The sequence below is a fragment of the Homo sapiens genome, chromosome 2 (genome assembly GCF_000001405.40).
Source record: "Homo sapiens chromosome 2, GRCh38.p14 Primary Assembly".
In the NCBI taxonomy this organism is placed as follows: domain Eukaryota; kingdom Metazoa; phylum Chordata; class Mammalia; order Primates; family Hominidae; genus Homo; species Homo sapiens.
In genome coordinates, this window is record NC_000002.12 from 39191567 (window position 1) to 39218169 (window position 26603).

General features: G+C 39.9%; 1 protein-coding gene across 14 annotated transcripts in view, besides 1 other annotated feature; it reads right to left on the reverse strand.

Annotated features, from left to right (window-relative positions):
- The window catches only part of CDKL4 (cyclin dependent kinase like 4), a 79150-nt gene that overhangs the window by 23596 nt on the left and 28951 nt on the right, over positions 1–26603 (reverse strand). For 8 of the 14 annotated variants that reach the window (XR_001738736.2, XM_047444141.1, XM_011532817.3 and 5 more), the window contains 2 exons: positions 21834–21906; positions 12961–13051 (listed from right to left, as the gene is read on the reverse strand). Coding sequence is in view for 10 of the 14 variants with exons in the window: in XM_047444141.1 (XP_047300097.1) it covers positions 12961–13051; positions 21834–21906 (164 nt within the window). In the remaining 4 variants the exon portion in view is untranslated. Of the gene's footprint in view, positions 1–2688; positions 2724–5385; positions 5495–12055; positions 12737–12960; positions 13052–21833; positions 21907–26603 lie in introns of those variants that run through there. The other 6 variants (NR_144521.2, NR_144520.1, XR_007073748.1 and 3 more) reach the window with 3 other exon arrangements.
- Positions 17968–18168: a silencer, noted in NCBI's record as "peak3670 fragment used in MPRA reporter construct". NCBI's record gives its function as "represses an SCP1 promoter by STARR-seq MPRAs in K562 erythroleukemia cells {active_cell/tissue: K562}" and the evidence as "EXISTENCE:reporter gene assay evidence [ECO:0000049][PMID:32103011]".

Here is a 26603-nt window from a genome sequence, read left to right on the forward strand (position 1 = left end):
CAGCCCCAGGAAACTAATGCAGCACTAGACAATTGCATAAATTAATTTTTCTATCCAAATGTGACCCACTGTGACAAAGACCTCAATTTGACTCCTTGTACTATGTATGAGTCATGTGTGATATGTGATAGACAGATGACAGAGAGCTAGGTGCACCCTCACTGCCCAGCCCTGCCCTATGCCACAGGTGTGGACTGCCTGGACCCAAGGCACCTGCCTCCAAGTGGGTGGAAGCCAATCCCAGAATCATCACAGGACCCTGAACGATCAGGAGCTGTACAAATGCATTACAGAGGAGGAACAATTGGAAAGCAGCCCGACTTGCAGAGATGAGGTAATGGGCAATTCTCCTTAGTAAAGTCGTCAGGTAGCCCCAAAGACACTGCCACAAAAGGCAGCTCAGAAAGTAGCGGCTACAGCTCTGGTCAGAGAACAGTCCTCATAGGAGTGGGAAAAGGAAATAATCTTTACTTGCTCATTGCTCTTTTATAAAGTTATATAAACTTTTGAAGGATAAAAATTAATAAATGCCATAATGGAAATTTGGAAATTGGAGAATGAGAAGGAAAATAACAACCACTAACAATTTTCACTATTCACAGGATAAGTCAGCTGTTTTATTTGTTTGGAACATTTTTCGACTTAAAAGTCATATATGCTCACTGCAGAGAACATGAAAAAATACATAAGGAAACAGAAAGAAGGTAAATATACCCAAGTTTTACCACCCAAAGGTACTTTGTGTTAATCTTTTGGTGTATTTTGTTGGAGTCTTTTTCTTATTTACAGCATAGTTCTGAGTACCACTTTTTTGGAGGCAGGGTCATGCTGTCCCCCAGGCTAAAATGCAGTGGCACAATCATAGCTCACTGCAGCTTTGAACTCCTGGGCTCACACAATCCTCCTGCCTCAGCCTCCTGAGTAGCTGGGACTATAGGGGCTTGAAACCATGCCTGGTTAATTTAAAAAAAAATTTTTTTTTTTTTGTATAGATAGAGGTCTCACTATGTTGCTCAGGCCTGTACAAGTACTTTTGATCATACTACATACACAATTCTGTGTCCTGATTTTTTTCATTGAATTCTATGCATTTATCATGTTATTATAAACTCTTCCTAAACTTGAGTTTAATGGCTGCATAACAGCTTACCAAGTGCATATGACAGGATTTACTTTACCTTCCCCAAATTTTCCAATATTTTGTCACTATAAATAACACCACATTATTTTTCAATAATCCCTGCACAAAGCTTTTTCTGTATTTAGAATTATTTCAAGGCCCGGCACAGTAGCTCACACCTATAACCCCAGCACTTTGGGAGGCAAAGGCAGGCGGATCGTGTGAGCCCAGGAGTTTGAGGCCAGCCTGGGCAACATGGTGAAATCTTGTCCCTACAAAAAAAATAAAAAAATCAGCCAGGCATGGTAGCATGTGCCTGTGGTCCCAGCTACATGGGAGGGTGAGGCAGGAGGATAGCTTGAGCCTAGGAGGTTGAGGCTGCAGTGAGCTAAGATCATATCACTGCCCTCCAGCCTAGGCTACAGAGCGAGACTCCATCTCTAAAAAAAAAAAAAAAAAAAAAGGAGCCAGGTTTGGTGGCTCACGCCTGTAATCCCAGCACTTTGGGAGGCTGAACGGGGTGGATCACTTGAGCCTAGATATTCGAGACCAGCCTGGGCAGAATGGCGAAATCTCTCTCTGTTAAAAAAAAAAAAAAAGAATTATTCCTTTAGGATGATTTTCTATGAGTGGAATTATTAGACTGAGAGGTGTAAACATCATTTATAAAATTATTATTATTATTATTATTATTATTATTGTTTTTGAGATGGAGTTTCGCTCTTATTGTCCAGGCTGGAGTTCAATGGCACAATCTCGGCTCACCGCAACCTCCACCTCCCGGGTACATGCGATTCTCCTGCCTCAGCCTCCCAAGTAGCTGGGATTACAGACATGCGCCAACATGCCCGGCTAATTTTGTATTTTTAGTAGAGACGGGGTTTCTCCATGTGGGTCAGGCTGGTCTCGAACTCCTGACCTCAGGTGATCTGCCTGCCTTGGCCTCCCAAAGTGCTGGGATTATAGGCATGAGCCACTGTGCCTGGCCCGTTTATAAAATTGTTAAAGAAATTTATGTTCTTTGTAGAAAACTTGGAAAATACAAAAAAGCATAAAGAAGAAAATAAAACATCACCCATCACCCAGAGAGAAACCAAGTGAACCTTTTGGAATAGAATTGGGACCAGTCTGTGTGTGCAGCTATGTGTTCTTTTTCACTTAGCCCCATGTTGTGAGCTGTAGCGTTTCTCATGTCATTAAAATCCTTTAAAAATATATTTTTACAGTATTAAGTCAGATAAATTCTTTAGCCATTTCCTTATTTCTGAATGACTGGGTTCCTCTTAATTTTTTTCTCAGTAATAAATGGTTCTACAATGAACATTATGTTGTATTATTTTGGAGGGTAGTATCTTGGATTATGGGAGATTCCTAAAAGTGAAATTAAAGATACAAAGGGCACTTACTGCGTTCTCAAGAATTTGTTCGAAATTGTGTTCCCACTAAAAACAATCTTGTGAGCTCTCAGTAGTTATTGTTTGAAAAATCTGGCTGGGCACGGTGGCTCACACTTGTAATCCAGCACTTTGGGAGGCCGAGGTGGAAGGATCACTTGAGGCCAGAAGTTCGAGATGAGCCTGGGCCCCATGGTGAAACACTGTGTCTACCAAAAATACAAAAATTAGCCCTATCAAAAATACAAAAATACAAAAATTAGTATATCTGTTGTCCCAACTACTTGGGAGGCTGAGGTGGGAGGATTGCTTGAGCCCTGGAAGTGGAGGTTGCAATGGGCTGAGATAATGCCACTGCACTCCAGCCTGGGTGACAGAGTGAGACTCTGTCTCAAAACAAACACACACACAAACAAACAGAAAATACTCTGCCAGCTTCATTGGTGAAGAGTAGTATTTTAATGTGCATTTATTTGATATCAGTGAAGAGGAAGATTATTTCATGTTTTTAGCCTTTTCTTTCATCTGTGAACTGTCAATATCTTGCTAATTTTTCTATTCAGAGCTTTTGTGGTTCTCTTTTAAACCAATTTATATAAGCTCTTATCTATCAACCTATTACCAATTTTGAAATATTCTCTCCTTTGGTTATTGACTTTAAAATTTTTATCTCTCTGTGTATATCTATATATCTATATATAGGAGGAGCTTAAATTTATTTTGTGGTAAAATACACATAATATAAAATTTACCATTTAACCATTTAAGAGTGTGCAATTCAGTGGCATGAAGTACATTCGGTGTTGCACAATCATCACCACTATGCACCTCCAAAGTTTTTTCCATCATCCCAGCCTGAAACTCTGTATCCTTTAAACAACAACTCCCCATTCTCCCTTCCCCCAGCCCTGATAACCACTATTCTTTTTTGTCTCCATGAATTTGACTATTCTAGGTAGAGCACGTAAATAGAATCATACGATATTTGTCCTTTTCTGTCTGTCTTATTTCACTCAGCTTAGTGTCTTCAAGGTGCATCCATGTCATAGCATATATCAGAATTTCATTTCTTTTTGAGTAAGATTTCATTATATGTATATACCACATTTTGTTTATCCACTCATCCTTGATGGACATTTGGGTTGTTTCCACCTTTTGTCATTGTGAATAATCCTACTATAAGCATTGGCATACAAATATCTTCAAGTCCCTGCTGCCAATTTTTTTGGGTATGTACCTAGAAGTGGAATTGCTGCATCATACAGTGATTCTATGTTTAATTTTTTGAAGAGCTGCCATACTGCTTTCCACAGCAGTTGCACCATTGTACTTTCCCACTAGCAATGAATGAGGGCTCTAATTTCTTCATATCTTTACCAACACTTGTTATTTTGTTCTGTGTGTTTTTTAAAAATAATAGTCATCCTAATGGGTGCAAAGTGGTATCTAACTGTGGTTTTGATTTGCATATCCCTAATGATTACCATAAGCATCTTTCATGTGCTTATTGGCCATTCGTATAGCTTCTTTTTTACTTTTTATTTTTTACATTTTTAATTAATTTTTTTTTTTTTTTTTTTGAGACAGGGTCTCACTTTGTCGCCTGGGCTGGAGTGTAGTGGTGCAGTCTTGGCTCACTGCAACCTCTGTCTCCTGGGTTCAACTGACTCTCATGCCTCAGACTCCTGAGTTAGCTGGGATTACTGGTTTGAGCCACTGCGCCCTGCCTTATATATCTTCTTTAAAGAAATGTCTATTCTGATGGCTTCTGAGGAAAATGGTTGATAGGAGGCAGGACTAACTTGCAGCTATGACTCAGACGGACAGAGCAGCGTGTGGAGACTTACATCATGAACTTTTGCTCCAAGAACTACCACAGGAACATACCAGGTAAGCCAAGAGAATCCACAGACCCTTTGAAGAAGGTGGATTACCACTGCAGGCTCTGTGGGACAGCCAAGGAGCTCTGAAGACAAAAGCCATATTCTCCTGGGAGCTCTATGGCCCCACCCACTGCCTGATCCACCCTATGCTACCGCAGCTGATGTGCTCTTGAGAGCACCAGCTCCTGGCTGGAGGTCAACCAACATAAAACTAGTGCGCATAACAAAAATACAACCAAGTCAACCAACATAAAACCAGTGTGCTTAACAAAAATACAACCAAGGACCCTCATAGAGTCCACTTCACTCCCCTGCTACCTCTACCAGAGCAGGTGCTGGTATCCATAGCTGAAAGATCTGACAATGGATCACATCACGGGACTCTTTGCAGACACTTCCTAGTACCAGCCCAGAGCCTGGTAGCTTCTCTGGGTGGCTAGATCCAGAAGAGAAATAACAATCAATGCAGTTTGGCTCTGAGGAAGCCCCATCCCTAGGGGAAAGGGGAGAGCACCACATCAAGGAAGCACCCCATGGGACAAAAGAATCTGAACAGCAGCCCTCAAGTCCCAGATCTTCCCTCTGACATAGTCTACCCAAATGAGAAGGAACCAGAAAAACAATCCAGTAACATGATGACAAAATAAGGTTCTTTTTTTTTTGAGACGGAGTCTTGCTCTGTCACCTAGGCTGGAGTGCAGTGGTGTGATCTTGGCTCACTGCAACCTCTGCTTCCTGGGTACAAGTGATTCTCCTGCCTCAGCCTCCCAAGTAGCTGGGACTACACGTACGTGCTGCCACGCCCGGCTAATTTTTGAATTTTTAGTACAGACAAGGTTTAGCCATGTTGGCCAGGCTGGTCTCGAACTCCTGACCTCAGGTATCTGCCCACCTTGGCCTCCCAAAGTGTTGGGATTACAGGCGTAAGCCACTGTGCCTGGCCCAAAACAAGGTTCTTTAACACTTCCAAAAGATCACACTAACTCACCAGCAATGGATCCAAGCCAGGAGAAAAATCTCTGAATTGGCAGAAAAAGAATTCAGAAGGTCAACTATTAAGCCAATCAAGGAGGCACCAGAGAAAGATGAAGTCCAACCTAAAGAAATAAAAAAATGATACAGGATATGAATGGAAAAATCTCCAGTGAAACAGAGAGCATAAATAAAAAAACAGTCACAACTTCTGGAAATCAAGGACACACTTAGAGAAATGCAAAATGCACTAGAAAGTCTCAGCAACAGAACTGCACAAGTTCAAGAAAGAACTTCAGCGCTTGAAGACCAGACTTTCAAATTAACCCAATCTGTCAAAGACAAAGAAAAAAAGAATTAAAAAAATGAACAAAGCCTCCAAGAAGTTTGGTATTATGTTTAACGATGAAACCTAAGAATAATTGGTGTTCCCAAGGAAAAAGAGAAATCTAAAAGTTTGGAAAACATATTTGAGGGAATAATTGAGGAAAACTTCCCCGGCCTTGCTAGAGATCTAGACATCCAAATACAAGAAGCCATCCAAATCCCAAGAACATCAGGGAAATTCATTGCAAAAAGATCATCGCCTAGGCACATAGGCATCAGGTTATCTAAAATCAAGACAAAGGAAAGAATATTAAGGACTCTGAGGCAAAAGCATCAGGTACTATAAAGGAAAACCTATCAGATTAACAGCAGATTTCTCAGTAGAAACCCTACAAGCTAGAGGGGATTGAGGTCCTATCTTTAGCCTCCTTAAACAAAACAATTATCAGCCAAGAATTTTGTATCTAGTGAAACTAAGCTTCATAAATTAAGGAAAGATACAGTCTTTTTCAGACAAACAAATGCTGAGAGAATTTGCCAATGCCAAGCCAGCACTATAGGAACTGTTAAAAGGAGCTCTAAATCTTGAAACAAATATTTGAAATACACCAAAATAGAATCTCCTTAAAGCATAAATCTCACAGGACCTATAAAACAGCAACACAATGAAAAAAACCCAGGGTATTCAGGTAACAAGTAGCATGATGAATAGTACCTCACATCTCAATACTGATGTTGGATGTAAATGGCTTAAATGGTCCACTTAAAAGATACAGAATGGCAGAGTAGATAAAAATTCACCAACCAAGTATCTGCTGTCTTTATGAGACCCACCTGACACATAAGGACTCACATAAGCTTAAAGTAAAGTGGGGGGAAAGGGTATTCCATGCCAGTGGACACCAAAAGTGAGCAGGAATAGCTATTCTCATATCAGACAAAACAGACTTTAAAGCAACAGCAGTTAAAAAAGACAAAGAGGGACATTATATAATGATAAAAAAAAAAAAACTAGTCCAACAGGTAAATATCACAATCCTAAATATATACGCACCTAACATTGGAGCTTCCATATTTATAAAACAATTACTATTAGACCTAAGAAATGAGATAGTAACACAATAATAGTGGAGGACTTCAACACTCCACTGACAACACTAGACAGGTCATCAAGACAGAAAGTCAACAAAGAAACAATGGACTTAAACTATATCCTACAACAAATGGACTTAACAGATATTTACAGAACTTTCTACACCATAAATGCAGAATATACATTCTGTTCATCAACACATGGAACATCTGCCAAGATAGACCATATAATAGGCCACAAAATAAAAAAATTTAAGAAAATTGAAATTATAGCAAGAACTCTCACAGATCACAGTGGAATAGAATTGGAAATCAACTCCAAAAGGAATTCTCAAAACCATGCAAATACATGGAAATTAAATGACCTGCTCCTGAATGATTGTTCAGTCAACAATGAAACCAAGATGGAAACTTAAAAATTCTTTGAACTGAACAATAATAGTGACACAACCTATCAAAACCTCTGGGATACAGCAAAGGCAATGCCAAGAGGAAAGTTTATAGCATTAAATGCCTACATCAAAAAGTCTGAAAGAGCACAAATAGACAATCTAAGGTCACATTTCAAGGAGCTAGAGAAAGAGGAAAAAAACAAACGTAAACCCAGCAGAAGAAAAGAAATAACCAAGATCAGAGCAGAAGTAAATGATATTGAAACAACAAAAAAAACCCACAAAAGATAAATGAAACACAAATCTGGTTCTTTGAAAAGATAAATAAAATTGATAGGCCATTAGCAAGATTAACCAATAAAAGAAGAGAGAAGATCAAACTAAGCTCAATTAGAAATGAAACAGGAGATATTATAACTGATACCACAGAAATACAAAAGATCACTCAAGGCTCCTATGAATACCTTTACGTGCATAAACTAGAAAACCTAGAGGAGGATGGATAAATTCCTGGAAATATGCAACTCTCCTAGATTAAACCAGGAAGAAATAGAACCTCTGAACAGACCAATAAGAAGCAGCGAGATTGAAATGATAATTAAAAAGTTACCAATGAAAAAAAGTCCAAGACCAGAGAGATTCACAGCTAAATTCTATCAGACATTCAAAGAAAAATTGGTACTAATCCTATTGACACTATTCCAAAAGACAGAGAAAGGGAATCCTCTCTAAATCACTCTATGAAGACAGTATCACCCTAATAACAAAACCAGAAAAGGACATAACAAAAAAAGAAAACTACAGACCAATGTCCTTGATGAACATAGATGCAAAAATCCTCAACAAAATACTAGCTAACCAAATCCAACAGCATGTCAAAAAGATAATCCACCATGATCAAGTGGATTTCATACCAGGGATGCAGGGATGGTTTAACATCTGCAATCAATAAATGCGATACACCACATAAACATAATTAAAAACAAAAATCACAAGGTCATCTCAATAGATGCAGAAAAAGCACTTGACAAAATTCAGCATTGCTTTATGATGAAAACCCTCAGAAAAATCAGCACAGAAGGGACATATCTTAAGGTAATAAAAACCATTGATGACAAACCCACAGTCAACATTATACTGAATAGGGAAAAGTTGAAAGCATTTCCCCTGAGAACTGGAACAAGACAAGGATGCCCACTTTCACCACTTCTATTCAACATAGTACTGGAAGTCCTAGCTAGAGCAATCAGACAAGAGAAAAAAATAAAGGGCATCTAAATTGGTAAAGAGGAAGTCAAACTTTTGCTGTTGGCTGATGACATGATCATATATCTAGAAAACCCTAAAGACTCCTTCAAAAAGCTCCTAGAACTGGTAAATGAATTCAGCAAAATTTTAGGATAACAAAATTAATGTACATAAATCAGTAGCCCCGCTATATACCAACAACAACCAAGCTGAGAATCAAACCAAGAACTCAACCCCTTTTACAATAGCTGCAAAAAAATAAAATACTTAGGAATATACTTAACCAAGGAGGTGAAAGACCTCTACAAGGAAAACTACAAAACATTGCTGAAAGAAATCATAGATGACACAAACAAATGGAAACACATCCTATGCTCATGGATGGGTAGAATCAATATTGTGAAGACGACCATACTGCCAAAAGCAACCTACAAATCCAATGCAATTCCCATCAAAATACCCCCATCATTCTTCACAGAACTTGAAAAAACAATCCTAAAATTCATATAGAACCAAAAAAAGAGCCCACTAGCCAGAGCAAGACTAAGCAAAAAGAACAAATCTGGAGGGATTATCCTACCTGACTTCAAACTATACTATAAGGCCATAGTCATCAAAGCAGTATGGTATTGGTATAAAAACAGGCATATAGACCAATGGAACAGAATAGAGAAACCAGAAATAAAGCCAAATACTTATAGTCAAATGATCTTTGACAAAGCAAACAAAAACATAAAGTGATGAATGGACACCTTATTAAACAAATGGTGCTGGTATAATTGGCAAGCCACATGTAGAAGAATGAAACTGGATCCTCACCTCTCACCTTATACAAAAATCATCTCAAGATGGATCAAAGACTTCAATCTAAGACCTGAAACCATAAAAATTCTAGAAGATAACACTGGCTTAGGCAAAGACTTCTCATGACCAAGAACCCAAAAGCAAATGCAACAAAAACAAAGATAAATAGATGGAACTTAAACTAAAAAAGCTTCTGCACAGCAAAAGAAATAATCAGCAGAGTAAACAGACAACCCACAGTGTGGGAGAAAATCTTCACAATCTATACATCCAACAGAGGACTAATATCCAGAATCTACAAGCAACTCAAATCAGCAAGAAAAAACAAACAATCCCATCAAAAAGTGGGCTAAGGACATGAATAGACATTCTCAAAAGAAGATATACAAATGGCTAACAAAAACATGAAAAAAATGCTCAACATCACTAATTATCAGGGAAACGCAAATCAAAACCATAATGTGATACCACTTTACTCCTGCAAGAATGGCTATAACCAAAAAAATAAAAAAAAAAAAACTACAGATGTTGGCATGGATGTGGTGAAAAGGGAACACTTTTACACTCTGGAGGGAATCTAAATTAATACAACCACTATGAAAAACAGTGTGGAGATTCCTTAAAGAACTAAAAGTAGATCTACCATTTGATCCAGCAGCCCCACTCCTGGGTATCTACCGAGAGGAAAAGAAGTCATTATATAAAAAATATATTTGCACACGCATGTTTACAGCAGCACATTTGCAATTGAAAAAATATGGAACCAGCCCAAATGTCCATCAATCAACAAGTAGATAAAGAAAATGTGGTATATATATACCGCAGAATACTACTTAGTCATACAAAGGAACAAAATAATGGCATTTGCAGCAACCTGGATGGAACTGGAGACCATTATTCTAACCATTATTCTAACCATTATTCCTGAAATAACTCAGGAATAGAAAACCAAACATCTATGTTCCAATAAGTGGGAGCTAAGCTATGAGGACACAAAGGCATAAGAATAATACAATGGACTTTGGGGACTCAGCCGAAAGGGTCGGGCGGCGGGTGAGGGATAAAAGACTACACATTGGGCACAGTGTACACTGCTCAGGTGGTGGGGGAACCAAAATTCCAGAAATCACCACCAAAGAACTTATTCACATAGCCAGGTGTGGTGGCTAACACATGTAATCCCAGCACTTTGGGAGGCCGAGGCAGGCAGATGACTTGAGCTCAGGAGTTCAAGACAAGCCTGGCCAACATTGCAAAAACTCATCTCTACTAAAAATTTAAAAATTAGCTGGGTGTGGTGGCGGGTTCCTGAAGTCACAGCTACTTGGGAGGCTGAGGCAGGAGAATTGCTTGAACCCAGGAAGTGGAGTTTGCGGTGAGCCGAGATCACACCGCTGCACTCCAGCCTGGGCAACAGAGCAAGACTCTGGACACTGTCTCAAACAAAACAAAACAAAACAAAACAAAACAAAACAAAACAAAACAATGAACTTTTTCAAGTAACCAAACACCACCTGTTCCCCAAAAACCTATTGAAATAAAACAACAAAAAAGAAATGTCTATTCAAGTCCTTTGCCCACTTTCAAATTAGTTTTTGTTATTGAGTCATAGTTCTGAACATTCTGGCTATTAATTCTTTATTAGGTATAAATTTACTAATATTTTCTCCCTTTCCATGGGTTGCTTTTCATTCTGTTTATAGTGTCCTTTGATGCACAGAAGTTTTTAATTTTAATGAAGTCCAATTTATCTATTTTTCCTTTTGTTGCTTGTGCTTTTGGTGTCACATCCAAGAAATCACTGTTAAATCCAATGTCATGAGGCTTTTTGTCTATGTTTTCTTTTAAGAGTTTTGTAAGCTTTATTTCTTATGTTTAAGTTGGTGATTCATTTTGAGTGAATATAATGTAAGGTAAAGGTCCAACTTCCTTCTTTTGCATGTGGATATCCAGTAGGAGCTTACATTTTTATGTGGATGTCTATTGAGCCAGTGTTAGCATTTTATCACATAATGGGACCCCCTCCTTTGCCTTTCTCATTATAAATGGCCAACAATGACCCCAGCAATGACTCATACCAGTACTTAGAAGACTTGAGCTGTAACCAGTGCCTGAGCTCATGTCTTGTGGAGGTTTCAGCCAGCACTAACAAGTTGGCAGTGTCTTGTAGTACCACTTTGTTTATAATAATATGGCAAAAGGTATCATTATTGGAATTGCCACAGTGGGTTCACCATTCAGACTTCTGGATGTGTTCATGCAGTCAAAATTTCTGAGACAGATGACCCTAACATTGAACTCAGTTCTAAGGTTCTTCATTCAGACAAGAATGACTATGTTTGCTACAGGAAAACTCAGTAGGAAAGCTGACTTGCATATTCAGCTCAGAAATGCAAAGGAAAATGAAAAAGGAAAGGAAAAAAAGAATGCATATTCATGAAAAATTAAAAATATTTATACGTTTGGAAGTATTGCCAGTTTAAGAAGCTTTGCCAGCCCATGGAGAAAAATCCCCAAAAGGAACAATTATGAAGTAACTTTTATATGAAATGCTGCTCTTATGTTCTTAATGCTTGTAATGGCGTATCTGTGTAGGTTTTTTCACTTATTTTTGTGACAATTGGGTATTTTGGTGGTATATAATGGATTTCCAGGAAAAAAACCCCAAATCTATGACACCGCATCTATACCATGCATTGGATGACTATCATTCACTTAATTTCCTAAATTGAGGGTCATATATATTTCAGTAATTTTTTTCTATGTATTTCCTGTATAGTTGAGATCATACTGAATACATATGTTTTCACTTTCCTTTTTCTCTTACCATGTCTTAAACATTTTCCGATGCCACTGAAACTCTGCAAACATCCCTACTAATGGCAGCCCAGCATTTCATGATACTGATGCACCATGGTACTATGTGCCGCGTTTGTAACTCGATAGTTTTCCAGTGTTTGTCTATTTCTCTTTTCAGCCGCATGGCACAGGGACCAATTATCATTAGGATCCTATTATCTTTACCACAAAGCACAGCAACCTCAGAAAGCCTTGATCGGGTTTTGTTTTTGCCCAACCCTTCCAAATGCATTGCCAAATCACTCGTGTTTGGGTCCCATCAGGATACCGATTATGTCCACACCCAGACTGCGAGGTGTATGTTGCTAATACATATATTTGTCTGCTGTAAAGTTCTAGATTGAGGGAGAAACAATTATTTGTCCCCCTTTCCCTTCAGTTCCTCCTTGCCTGGAATGATTTCCGTTTTCTTAGCACTCTCTCTGAATCCTCTCTCTTTAATTTTCAGTTTACTCTTCTAGTCTCACCAGCTCTGTGAAGTTTTTTTCAACCACTCTCGCCCACATTAATATCTCCCTCCAGGGAACCGTCTGCACCTTCACTTTAGTACTTTATTGCCAATCATCTTGTATTATTCTTTGTTTCTTTTACTGTAGATTATAAGTGCATGAAGAACAGAAATGCTTTTAGAAATCTTTTCCTTTCCTATGGGGCAAAGCACAGAAAGGTGACATCTGATAAATTCTAGCTGAATGGAGCAGAGTTGAAGTGCAAACGAATGTACTGACTAAAAGGCTAAAGTGAGATTTTCCTTTTTGAATAACAACAATACAATATTTGGCATATGTCCAATATCCAATGTAAGAATTTAAACTATGTCATTTTATCATCATCTGAACTGGGTATTAGTAAAAAAAATTGCTACTTACTCAGAATTTGTGCAAACCCGAAGTCACAAATCTTGATTATTCCTTGCTTAGTTATTAGAATATTTTCAGGTTTTATATCTCTGTGAATACACTGTAAGATCATTATTTGATTATTTTTCTGAACCATCAAAATGACAAAGAATAAACATTAACTACTAGTTTAAATAACAGATACACAGCCTATGAGATAAAAACAAATGTGGGCTTCCTTCACTTTTCTAAAAGAACTTAAATTGGCAATTTTTCACTTGTAACTCTTGTCATACCAAAATTAAAACTTTTATTAAAATATTGTTTTATTATTGAAAAAATTGAAATTATAATTGTATATAAAAACTGTCTTTTTTTTTTTTTAAAGAAGGGATTTTCAGACTGGGTGTGGTGGCTCATGTCCATAATCCCAGCACTTTGTGAGGCCGAGGCGGGAGGATAACTTGAAGCCAGGAATTTGAGACCACCCTGGGCAATGCAATGAGACCCTGTCTCTACAAAAAAGTTAAAAAATTAGCCAGGCAAAGTGGCATGCACTTATGGTCCTAGCTACTGAGGAGGCTGAGGCCGAAGGATCATTTGAGCCTCGAAGGTTGAGGCTGCAGTGAGCTATGATCACACTGCACAGAGCCTGAGCAACTGAGCTAAACCCTGTCTCGAAAACAAAAAATAAAAATAAAAAATTAAATTCAAGAAGAGAGTAACATACAATTATTTCTTTCACTTTTTGCTGGGTCCTATTTAAACCGTAAGAGGTAAAACTCTAAATGAGATTAGACTTAAGAGTACCTCTAATAACTGCTGCCACCCAAGAGTCACAATTCAGGTTGAAAAACTTGCAGATTTGAGAAATTACAAAAACATTTAAATGATAACAAAAAGCAAAATTCACTTATAATTAGAATGACCATATTATTTATCATCCAAATCAGGAGACTTCCAAGTGTGAAAGAGGGGCCTATAGCCGGGCTCGGTGGCTCGCGCCTGTAATCCAGCACTTTGGGAGGCCGAGGCGGGCAGATCACGCGGTCAGGAGATAGAGACCATCCTGGCCAACACGGTGAAACCCCGTCTCTACTAAAAATAGAAAAAATTAACCAGGCGTGGTGGCAGGCGCCTGTAGTCCCAGCTACTCAGGAGGCTGAGGCAGGAGAATGGCGGGAACCCGGGAGGCAGAGCTTGCGGTGAGCCAAGATGGTGCCACTGCACTCCAGCCTGGACGACGGAGCGAGACTCCGTCTCAAAAAAAAAAAAAAAAAAAAAGAAAGAAAGAAAGAAAGAGGGGCCTATTAATAATCATGCCCCGACAAAAGGCACAAACCAGGACTGCCCTGGGCGAGCTGGGGCGCACAGTCCCCTGCTTAGCAGAGATTCCGAAGCATTCCGCGCCAGGGGATGGGGATCACTTCCACCTCCTCACCGGAGCTAACCTGGAACGATCAGCAACACTCCTGAGACGGCCCACGATGCTGTCAGAATCCATACTGGGAAAGTGGGACCCGAGGCACGCTGACCTCAAAGCAGCTGTTTTTTTTTGTTTTTTGTTTTTTTTTTGAGACAGAGTCTCACTGTGTCGCCCAGGCTGGAGCTCAGTGGCGCGATCTCGGCTCACTGCAACCTCCGCCCCCCGGGTTCAAGCGATTCTCCTGCCTCAGCCTCCCGAGTGGCTGGGACTACGGATGTGTCCCGAGTAGCTAGGATTACAGGCGCTCACCACCATGCCCGGCTAATTTTGTATTTTTAGTAGAGGCTGGTTTCACCATGTTGTTGTCCAGGCTGGTCTTGAATTACTGAGCTCAAGTGATCCGCCCACCTCGGTCTCCCAAAGTGCTGGGATTACAGGCGTGAGCCACCGCGCCTGGACCCAGCTGTTCTTTCATATGCAGCGGCCTTACAACTTGCTGCGTCATCATAATGACCCTGAATGAAACAGATGCTCCTCGCTGGACAGGAGCGGCCCGGCTAGGGGCCTGGGTGAGGGCAGGCTGAGTAAGCCCGCGCGCACATGGGCATTCCAGAAATGGGTTTCCATGTTGCGGAGGTGCTGTGAGAAAACAGCTCAGACCGTACCCTTCAGGACTTTACAGTTTATCCACGCTCCCAAAAAAGAAAATGGATGAAAATAATATCGATCTCCACAACTGGGCCCTCACAGGGAACTCTGTACTTTTCAAAGCACTTTCAATTCAAAGCATAAATTATTTCATCCTTGCAACAATCCTGTGATTGCAAGTGGCCACTGACAGAATTAACTGTCATGAATTAAGTGTCCATTAAGTGTCACAATAATCAACTCCTTCTGCCTCCTTTTCTACTATGCTGTCAGGCCCTTTAAGCATTTTTGTCAAACTGACAATTCTGAAATGATTGTCTTTGGTTCTTTAATAGCTATCTAGGAAGAGAAAAAGAGCTGAGCCCTAAAATCATTTTAGGTTGCAGAAATGACACTGGTAACAGGAGCTTGTTCCTATTTAGTCTCAATTACTGTCAATTGCTTCATAATTTGTATGAAGAGCAGTTAGAAGAAACTTTTTTAGGTCTCTTAAAAGTACTAAGGCCTTAGACACTAATTAAAAAAAATACACAGGCTGGGCATGGTCGCTGATGCCTGTAATACTTGCGCTTTGGGAGGCCAAGGTGGGCGGATCGCTTGTGCCCAGGAGTTTGATACCAGCCTGGGCCCAATGGTGAAACTCAGTCTCTACAAAAAATACAAAAATTAGCTAGGTGTGTGGCGTGTGCCTTTAGTCCCAGCTACACAAGACGCTGAGATGGGAGGATGGCTTGTGCCCAGGAGGTGGAGGTTGCAGTGAGCCAAGATGGCACCACCGCACTCTAGCCTATGTGACAGAGTGAGACCCTGTCTCAAAAAAAAAAATTTTTTTTTGGAATATAAATGAACATAGTTTTGATATCCTACCTTTTAAGCAACACACTTAAGAAACTTAGACTAACACTCTGAGTCAGTAACACTCATACTTGGTGATTGCATTAGAACAGGTTATATCCTTTAAATGAGTTTGCATCAAGTTCTAGAATTTCTAGACTATATGTGTAGCATTACCAAGTAAATGGATTTACATCAATATCTGTCCATTGGCCTATACATATGTTTTCTGCATCTAATCCATGTGAAATTTATAGCACTTATTTTTCAACCAAATATACAAAAGGAAATGAAGTATTGACATATTCCAAAGAAACAGGAAAATTTATTTTATAGGAGCAGGTAACAGAAGTTATTGATAAAGAGTGAGAGGATACTGAAGAAATTTAAAAGGGAGTAAAAACAATTGGAACCTGGCTGGGCGTGGTGGCTCATGCCTGTAACCCCAGCACTTTGGGAGGCTTAGGCAGGCAGATCACCTGAGGTCAGGAGTTCGAGACCAGCCTGGCCAACATGGTGAAACCCTGTCTCTACTAAACATAGAAAAATTAGCCAGGCGTGGTTGTGGGTACCTGTAATCCCAGCTACTCGGGAGGCTGATGCAGGAGAATCACTTGAACCTGGGAGGCAGAGGTTGCAGTGAGCTGTAGTTGCGCCACTGGACCCCAGCCTGGGCGACAGAGGAAGACTCTGTCTCAAAATAAATAAATAAATAAAAATTTTTAAAAAATTAAAAAATAAATAATTGGAACCATAAGAAACAGGGCATGGGGGGAAGAAGATGCTTAGACATACAGCATTCACCTACTCCACTGCAAAGCCACACTCAATGCAAACTCTCTGCAATGCCTCTTGCAATCAGCTTATTTTCCCTCGAAGAACAAGAAACATGCAAGTCTCTCTTAATAAAATAATTTTAATAAGTTGAGTTTTATACACAGCTTTTTTTTTTTTGAGACAGAGTCGCTCTTTGTTGCTCAGGCTGGAGTGCAGTGGCGTGATCTCGGCTCACTGCAACCTCTGCCTCCTGGGTTCAAGTGACTCTCCTGCCTCAGCCTCCTGAGTTGCTGGGATTACAGGTGCTCACCACCACGCCTGGCTAATTTTTTGTATTTTTTAGTAGACATGGGGTTTCGCCATGTTGGCCAGGCTGGTCTTGAACTCCTGACCTCAGGTGATCCACCAGCCTCGGCCTCCCAAAGTGCTGGGATTACAGGCATGAGACACCATGCTTGGCCTTGTACACAGTTTTTAGCAAACAATGCTCAGGTTCAGTTGTTGTGGCTGACGGGCAATCTTTTTTTTTTTTTTTTTTTTTGGCTCACAGGCCAGCCTAAAGAGATATCCATGGTATTTTAAAACTGACTTTTAACTTTAAAATCATCTCTGCAAACTTGCACACCAGAAATTGCTTCTTAAATAGCCTGATAAAAACAATAAATCATTTTTTTTATTATCTGAGAAATTTATTCTCTTTGAGCCTTAGGCATGGATGCTCACACATCGAGGAGAGAGAAAAGCAACCCTCTCCTCAACAACCAAAACATGAGTATCAACAAGATGCTGACGGAGGTTGCAGCCTGACCCACTCCTATCTCAGAAGTCATTTTTGCCAGCTGGGCATGGTGGCTCATGCTTGTAATCCTAGCTCTTTGGGAGGCCAAGGTGGGAGAATCGCTTGAGGTCAGGGGTTTGAGACCACCCTGGGCAACACAATGAGACTATCTCTACAAAAAAAAAAAAAAATTTTTTTTTTAAATTAGCCATGCATGATAGCATGTGCCATAGTCCCAGTTCCTTGGGAGGCTAAGGTGGAAGGATTGTTTGAGCATGGGAGGCTGAGGTTGCAGTGAGCCGTGAAGGCGCCACTGCATTCTAGCCTGGGAAACAGAGCAAGATCCTGTCTCAGGAAGAAAAAAAAAAAAAAAGTCATTTTTGCCATTTTGAGATGAAGCCCCTGTTCTCTAATCAATACAGCAAATATATAAAAATCCCTGGGTTCATTATGGCGTTAAATGGACCACTTTGGTTACCTCACTCTAGTGATATTATAGGGTAAAAGAGAACCAAATGAATACGTATTTTCTTAAGTCCTGCGCTTCTCCAAATTTAATGTGCACATGAATCACCTGGAGCTCTGGTTAAAATGCAGACTCTGATTCAGCAGGTCTGTAGTGGACCTCAGATTCAACATTTCTAAAAGCTCCCAGGTGATCTCTATGAACCATAGTTGGAGTAGCAAGGCCTGAATCCCTTGGTACTTTAACCTGCAGTGTCCTGTTTAGGATCTCGACTCTGGAGATGATAAGGTGCACATGGTCTCTACAGGTTTAAAGCTGTGAGTCGTCAGCAACACCACTAGGTCAGATTGCCTTTTCTACTCTTTGAGACTATCATGGGAGTTCCTTTAAAAATAAGGAGAGTATAAAGGTTTTAGTTGTATTATTGTGACAGCTTTATATATGGCTTAGATTTTTTTCTTTGCAAGCATTTTAATTATAGATAAATAAAAAGGCAGATACACAAAGGCTTACCATAAGAAAATGAGAAGTAATTTCCATCTTGGAGGAGGGAAGTTAGTCTGAAAAATTATCTTTTTTTGAGACAGACTCTTGCTCTGTCGCCCAGGCTGGAGTACAGTGGCCCGATCTTAGCTCATTGTAACCTCTGCCTCTCGAGTTCAAGTGATTCTCCCACCTCAGCCTGCTGAGTAGTAGCTGGGATTACAGGCATGCATTGCCATGCCCGGCTAATTTTTGTATTTTTAGTAGAGACAGGGTTTCACCATGTTGGCCAGGCTGGTCTTGAACTCCTCACCTCAGGCAATCTGCCCACCTCAACCTCCCAAAGTCCTGGGATTACAGGCTTGAGCCACCACACCTAGCCTGAAAAATTACCTATTTTTAATAGAGGCCACATATTATCAGTCAGAAGTTTTCAGTGTTTTAAAGCTTAGGGTATAGAACGTGTTGTTCCAAGCACAGAAATGATGGCAGTTGCGTTGGTCTACAATAATGTTTGGCTCCACTGGAAATAGTCACAATCAGTTAGGCAGTTTGGGTTGACTGACTGATTGACTCATCCAACCATCCACCCATCCCTCCATCCAGTTATTCAATAAATATTTATTGATCACCCTGTATATAAAAATATCCAATTTAGGTATTAAAGAGATACAAAGATAAAGCAGCCACAGACATTGCATTCAAGCTTATAACCAAGTACCCAGGAAAGTGTCTGGTTATATAGGGATAAAGTATAAACACTTGTGGTAAGTGGTATTTTTAGAAATCATTTTAACTACCCATAAAACTCCTGCAGCAACTTTGATATCTCCTATAGCATGGTGGAAAGCAACAGAGATAAGGATTCCATTTGGCATCATCTTTATTAAGCATCAGAAAGCACAATTTGCATCATGAAAAATAGGTTTATGTATTTTGTGAAAAATATCCCTCTACATTAATAGAAAATAAAAGCTTTTGATTTAACCTAATAAAAACTTCACTGACTTTCCTAAAACTAAAGAAAGCTTCCCCTCCGTATTGAAATGTATTCTCATGATCTTGTACTTTCTTTTTCAGCAATCCTAGACTGCTATGATAGACATTCTGCTGGCATCAAAACTGACCATATGGTACTCTGTATCATTGCCTCAGCACTGTCTCTGTCTAGGCACCAACTCAAAAGGGCTAGATATATTTTTTTAAAAGCTATCATTGGCTGAGTGCAGTGGTTCACACCTGTAATCCTGGCACTTTGGGCAGCCAAGGCAGGAGTTTGAGGCCAGCCTGGGCAAGATAGTGAGACCCCCATCTCTACAAAAACAAAAATTGGCTGAGTGTAGTGGCATGTGCCTGTAGTCCCAGCTACTCAGGGAGGCTGAAGTGGGAGAATCACTTGAGCCCAGGAGTTTGAGGCTCAAGGGTGCTATGATAACACCACTGCACTCCAGCCTGGGCAGTAGAGCGAGACTGTCCCAAAAATATAATGATATATAGCAAAGGTACCAGGAGCCAACTTGAAGAAGCTCATGTTGGCCTAAGATGGGAAAATCTGAGCATGGGAGAGACCAATGACAGCAAAGAATTGAAAACACCACAATACAAAATTTGTGTTTATAATGGTGCTCCAGCCACCTCTCCCCAAAACTTGTCATTGTTGCTAAGATATCATCTCATCACCCTGAGTGTTGATAAATAAAAGTAACCAGAGTCCATGAGGATGAGTTCTTTTCCATACAATTCCAATTATTAAATGCAGAAGGAATAACAGAATTAGAAAATTACTGTCACGAAATACTAGATACAGGCAATAATCATCACTGGATGCTAAAACCATCAGGGAAACAACGTTGACAGGGAAAATGATAATGGAGGGGACCAAACGAATACCTCCTGAGCCCACTCATCAATTTTAACATTATCGAAAGTGGGACAAGTGGATGCTATACACCTCATAATGGGGATGCGATATGAAGTGTACAGCACCACATAGCAGGCATTGTTAACTAAAAAAAGCTGAACCTGAATATGATCAAGCCTCTAGATATAAACTCCAATTTACAGGAAATACAAGTGAAAGAACACGTTAAATTACATACAAGAAAAAGTCAGCCAAAATTATTTCTCTAACATAGTGGTTCTTGAACCAACAGCTTCAGTAGCATCTGGGAAAATATGAGAAATGCACATTCTTGGGGCCCTACCCAAGACTGACTGAATCAGAAACTCTGGGGGTGGGGCCCAGGAAGCTGTGTTTTAACAAGCCCTCCTTGTGATTTTGATGCATGCTCAAGCTTGAGAACTACGGCTATAAAAAATTAATGAATTTTTTTTTTTTTTTTTGAGACAGAGTCTCACACTGTCGCCCAGGCTGGAGTGCAGTGGCACGATCTCGGCTCACTGCAAGCTCCGCCTCCTGGGTTCACACCATTCTCCTGCCTCAGCCTCCCGAGTAGCTGGGACTACAAGCACCCGCCACCATGCCCGGCCAATTTTTTGTATTTTTAGTAGAGACAGGGTTTCACCGTGTTGGCCAGGATGGTCTCGATCTCCTGACTTCGTGATCCGCCTGCCTCGGCCTCCCAAAGTGCTGGGATTACAGGCGTGAGCCACCATGCCCGGCCGGAAACGGTTTTTAAAAAGGAAAGGAAAGGGGCACTTAGATTGCTATCGAGTAAAGGACTTAAGAGACTTAAAAATAATAGTTAAAAAAAAAAGTACCATGGGGGATTACATCAGCAATATCCTGAAAACTTACTATTATTTTTGGAGACAGGGTCTCACTCTGTTGTCCAGGCTGGAGAGCAGTGGTGTGATCTCAGCTCACTGCAACCTCTGCCTCCTGGGTTCAAGTGATTCTCCAGCTCCAGCCTCCCAGGTAGCTAGGATTACAGGTGCGCACCACCATGGCTGGCTAATTTTTATATTTTTTCATAGAGATAGAGTTTCTCCATGTTGCCCAGGCTGGTCTTGAACTCCTGAGCTCAAAGCCATCTGCCCGCATTGGCTTCCCAAAGTGCTGGGATTACAGGCATGAGCCACCATACCGGCCCTGAAAAATTATTCTCGCCCAATTTAAAAATAGTTTCAGGGGTCACTGGCACTATGGCAAAAGGAATCATTATATTTATTCAAATTTTTAATTCATAAGGAATTAGCAATTTGATTCTTACAGAAATTGGAAAGAGCCATGAATAATGCATCACTTTTTTCTCATATTTTGAACTTTCTTTTGTTATTCCCTTTTCTTCTTTTTTGCAGAGACAGGGTCTTGCTATGTTGCCCAGGCCTGTCTCAAACTCTGGGGCTCATGTGATCCTCCCACTTCAGCCTCCCAAGGTGCTGGGATTACTGGCTGAACTTCCTTTTGTTTTGCTTCTTTGGCTCTTACTTTCCCTTTGTCTTCAGCTCTCCAAACAAAACCCTGAGCTATTTAGAAGAAAAGAGTCATCATGAAGAAATGAATAAATACATTAGAAAATGTTACTTACGTTATGTATATGACAGAAATTAAGAGCTTGAAGTGTTTGCCATAATACGCTTTTGATCACTCCATCAGCAACTCTGAGGGAAAAAATAAAAAAGGAAATGAAAACTCATAGGATAGAGTTCCAGAAGCAAGGGCTGGGAATAGAAGTGGAGTGGTGAGGGACTGTCCTCTTCAAGGAACACCATGCGGAAGGGTCCTAAAAATATATTTTAGTGAAAATTGGGCTTTACTATCTTTTTATTATGGTTATGTAATTTCCTTTTGTAATTTGAATTTTTTACATCCATAAAATGATGCATGCTTATGAAGATTCAAAAAATATAGAAAAGTAAAGGAATAAAAAAAAGAAAAGGAAAGGAATAAAAAAAAGAAAAGTAAAGGAATAAAATGTGTTGGGTCAAATCTTGCTACCCCAAAATAACTGCTATAACTTCTGGTGGCTCTCTTCAGGCATCTCTGCTCCTCTCTCTCCCTGTCTCTCTCTGTACTTTTTTTGTTTTGTTTTGTTTTGTTTTGTTTTGTTTTGTTTTGTTTTTTGAGACAGGGTCTGGCTCTGTCACCCAGGCTGGAGTGCAGTGGCATGATCTCAGCTCACTGTAACTTCCTCCTCCCAGGTTCAAGAAATTTGATTCTCCTGCCTCAGCTTCCCAAGTAGCTAGGATTACAGGCACGTGCCACGATACCCGGCTAATTTTTGTATTTTTAGTAGAGACGGGGTTTTGTCATGTTGGCCAGGCTGGTCTTGAACTCTCGACCTCAGATGATCCACCTGCCTCGCCCTCCTAAAGTGCTTGGATTACAGGTGTGAGACACTATGCCCGGCCAGTATTTACTTTTTAACTTTAATTTTAAAATAAAAACATTCGTATGGTTCAAATTTTAAACATATAAAAGTATATACATGAAGTCTCTCTGACACCTGCCTAGCCACCCATTTATTTTCTTCAATTTCACCCCTGACCACTTTGAGAATTTTATGCATAGAGGTACAAATACCAACATGTACACATATATTTTAGAGGCTCCAGAGGAGATCATTATATGGATATATCATAATTTACTTAGTCTCTATTGATGAGCAGTTAAGTTCAGCCAATTTTTGTTTCTAGAAAGTCTTCAATGAATATCTGTAATCATCCATCTTATGATATTTACACAATTACCTTCTTAAGGTAAGTTCTAGAAGTGGGATTTCTGAGACCAATGGTAGGCACCCATTACATTTCGATCCTGCATGGATGAAATTCAGGTAGACCGGAGACTTGGTTTTGCAGGAAAAAAGGTATACTTGGAAGATGGCTCTTCAATTTATCTAATTCATGGTGGTAGACACTCAAGTTATTTTGTAATAGTTACTTGTCCCTGTAAGCAGATAGCCCAAAAGGCGGCCAGGGAGAATAAGGATCCCATAAGAATGAGAGGGTGTAAGCTTCTTGTCCCTGGCAGACTCATCCCTCTGTATAGAAAATACTGGGAAGTATCATGGGCAGGTGTATTTTCCACTGGGGATTGGGGGTCTGGGAAACTTACTCTGGGAGTATTCTACTTTATGTAACATCTCCATGAATTATAGCAATTACATTCTCTGTAACTTTTCTGTTGGTAGCTTTCCATCACTCACATCACTGTCCCATGATGATGCCTTCACATTTACACACTGCCAAACTACCCTTTCTGAGGAAGGTTATACCCATTTTCACTCCCACCAAACATCTGTGCATCAAAGTCCCTGTCTCCTCATTGTCTTGCCAACATTTGGTTTTGCCAATGTTATGTTTGCCAATCTGTGGTTAAAATAAAAAGATGTCTCACTGTGGTTTTTATTTGCATTTTACTAATGTTTAGTGATTATTATTTTTCACACCCTTATTGGATACTACATTTCTTCTTTTGTGTAATTCCATTTTATGCCTTTATTGCTTTTTAAATTGGTCTGTTCACTGTTTTATTATTGATTTACAAAGACTCAATGTATATCATGGTCTGTTATATATGCTGCAAATATTTTGCTCAGTGTTGTTTGTCTTTCAGCCCTGTTGATGGAGATGCGGCTGTTGTTTGTATATTTTTCAAAAATCTGAAACATAAGAGTTTCTTTTACTAAATGTCAACTGTAAGGATTTTCTTAATTTAAAAAAATTATATTATGTAATACCCCAAACATATCCATCACTCAGATTTAATATTTTATCATATTTGGATATTTAAATCATATATTTAGATCACTTTTTAAAAATTGAACATGTGCAGATGTAGCTGACTTTACAGAACAGTGGGAAGGCCTAGGCATGACTCAGTTATGACACTAGCTACAAGAGTCTGAAGTATATGCAGAGAAACAGCAAGTGATGTACACGGTATTTTCCTCAGAGCAGTTTCCTGATCTTGTACCACAATTATGGTGGCATGTCCTTGACATCAGTGGCCCAGTGGCAACCCTTGACCCCAGTTCTCCTAATTATTAATATTGCAAATGTACCTAATTTTCATGATTAAATCCCTTTCGACTTGAAGTGTCTATTTCCAGCACTGAATACTGATATAACTGTATTCTTCTCCCCACTTCACCTAGAGCCAAACCTGAAACAACATTGCGTACACTTTCAAAATATGAGGCAGGAAGAATAGTATAGCCATGTTGAGCACTGTGAGACAGGTTGCTTGAGTTCAAATCCCAGATATGCTGCTTCCTACTTTATAATCTTGAACACGTTATTTAAGCTCTCTGCACCTTCAATTTTCCTCATGTGTAATACTAGAATAATATCTTATAAGTTATTTGAGTAATCTATCCCCTCAATGTCTGGTTTTAACACCCACATGAGTTCTGGAGATACAGGTCTGAGATTAGATAAGGCCAGTCGATGGGATTGAGACCCCTGTACAAAGAGGGAAGAGGTGCAGAATAGCAAGAGGCCCTGAGGAGAGAAAGAACTGGAGGTGTGGGGAAAGCAGTATGAGGCCAGGGTGGCTGAAACTTGAGTGAAGAAGCCAGGAAGGTTGGCAGAAATCAGTCCATGGAGGGCCTCGGAGATCTAGATCTCAATAAGAAATTTGGATTTTATGCTAAATTCAAAACCATTGAAAGAAATCAAGCAAGGAAGTGACATAATATGGAGAATGGATTTCTGGGAAGGCAACATACATACAGAGAGAGAAATTAGGAGGCTAATTCAATAACCCAAGTGAGATTTGGACACTTAGATTATGGTGGCAGCAGTGAGAGGAAGGGAAATGGATTTCAGTCCTTGAGAGGGACTAGCGAGGGTGGAGTACATGCTCCTGCTGACATGGGAACAGAACGCTAGTCTGGTTGGGATCTAAGAGCCTACAGGTGCAGGAGAGTAAGTACTGGAATTGGGAAACAAGGTAGGGGCTAGGATTGAGAAACTGCAAAACGCCAATTACTAGCCTTAATAACAGGGAATGGAGAATGAAGTAATTTCATAGGAAAGTAATTTCATAGGATGTTAAAGATGACTTTAACATGAAAGAGGATGTTTAAAGGCATCTCACAGGAAGTGTCATATTCAGTTCAGTTAGCTTCCAAGAAGGCAGATTCCGTCAGGGGCAAAACAACACCACTGATCGTGCAAAGAGAAGATAGCCATCAAAGAGAACCACAAACCAACACCACAGATCGTGCAAAGAGAAGATAACCATCAAAGAGAGTACACATCGACGCGGCGCCCAGTCCAGAAAGATAGAGCGCTGCAGCACCATTCAGCCACAGGCAGCATTTTTCAAAGCATCTTGGAGCAAAATGAACCTCTGGTGAAATCAAAAGATGCTCAGTGTTTAAATATTATATTTTGGGCCAGTGCAAAACCAAATATTCGGTTGGTACAAAAGTAACCGAGGTTCTTGCCACTGAAAGTAATACTAAAAGTCGTAATGAAGGCCTTAAAGCAAACATGAGACATCACAGTTCAAGTCTGAATGGGCTAACAAGATAGGGTAACATGATGGGGGAATTCAGACTGAACTGCTCAGAATATGCTCTTTGAACCACTCAGAGGAAGACCTGATGCTGAAATCAGAAGTCATTACCTGGAAGTTTGTTATAAAAACGTAATAGGGGAAGCTTGATTTCATTATTATTACCCAAGATGAATTCAGTCCTTCTCAGTAAATCTTTACTATCCTAGAATAAAATCCAGCCTTGTTACTATGGCCTACAAGGCTGTTAATAACATTTTACTTCCATTTCCCTTCCCAACTTTATCTCCTATCACATCCCTAAAGTCACTCCATCCCAGCCCATTATTTTCTGCTATTCTCTGAACATGCCAGGCTTATTTTATTATTTATTTATTTATTTATTTATTTATTTATTTATTTATTTATTTTTTGAGATAGAGTTTCGCTCTTGTTGCCCAGGCTGGAGTGCAATGGCATAATCTCCGCTCGCCGCAACCTCCGCCTCCTGGGTTCAAGCGATTCTCCTGCCTCAGCCTCCCAAGTAGCTGGGATTACAGGCATGTGCCATCACACTCAGCTAACTTTGTATTTTTAGTAAAGATGGGGTTTCTTCATGTTGGTCAGGCTGGTCTTGAACTCCTGACCTCAGGTGATCTGCCTGCCTCGGCCTCCCAAAGTGTTGGGATTACAGGCGTGAGCCACTGCGCCTGGCCCCCAAGGCTTATTTATACTTTCAATCAGGCTGTTAATAACATTTTACTTCTATTTCTATGTTTACTTCTATTTCTACTTCTATTAACAGTTTATTGTTCCTTCTACTTCCTTTTAGTTATGAGTAATTTTCTGTGTT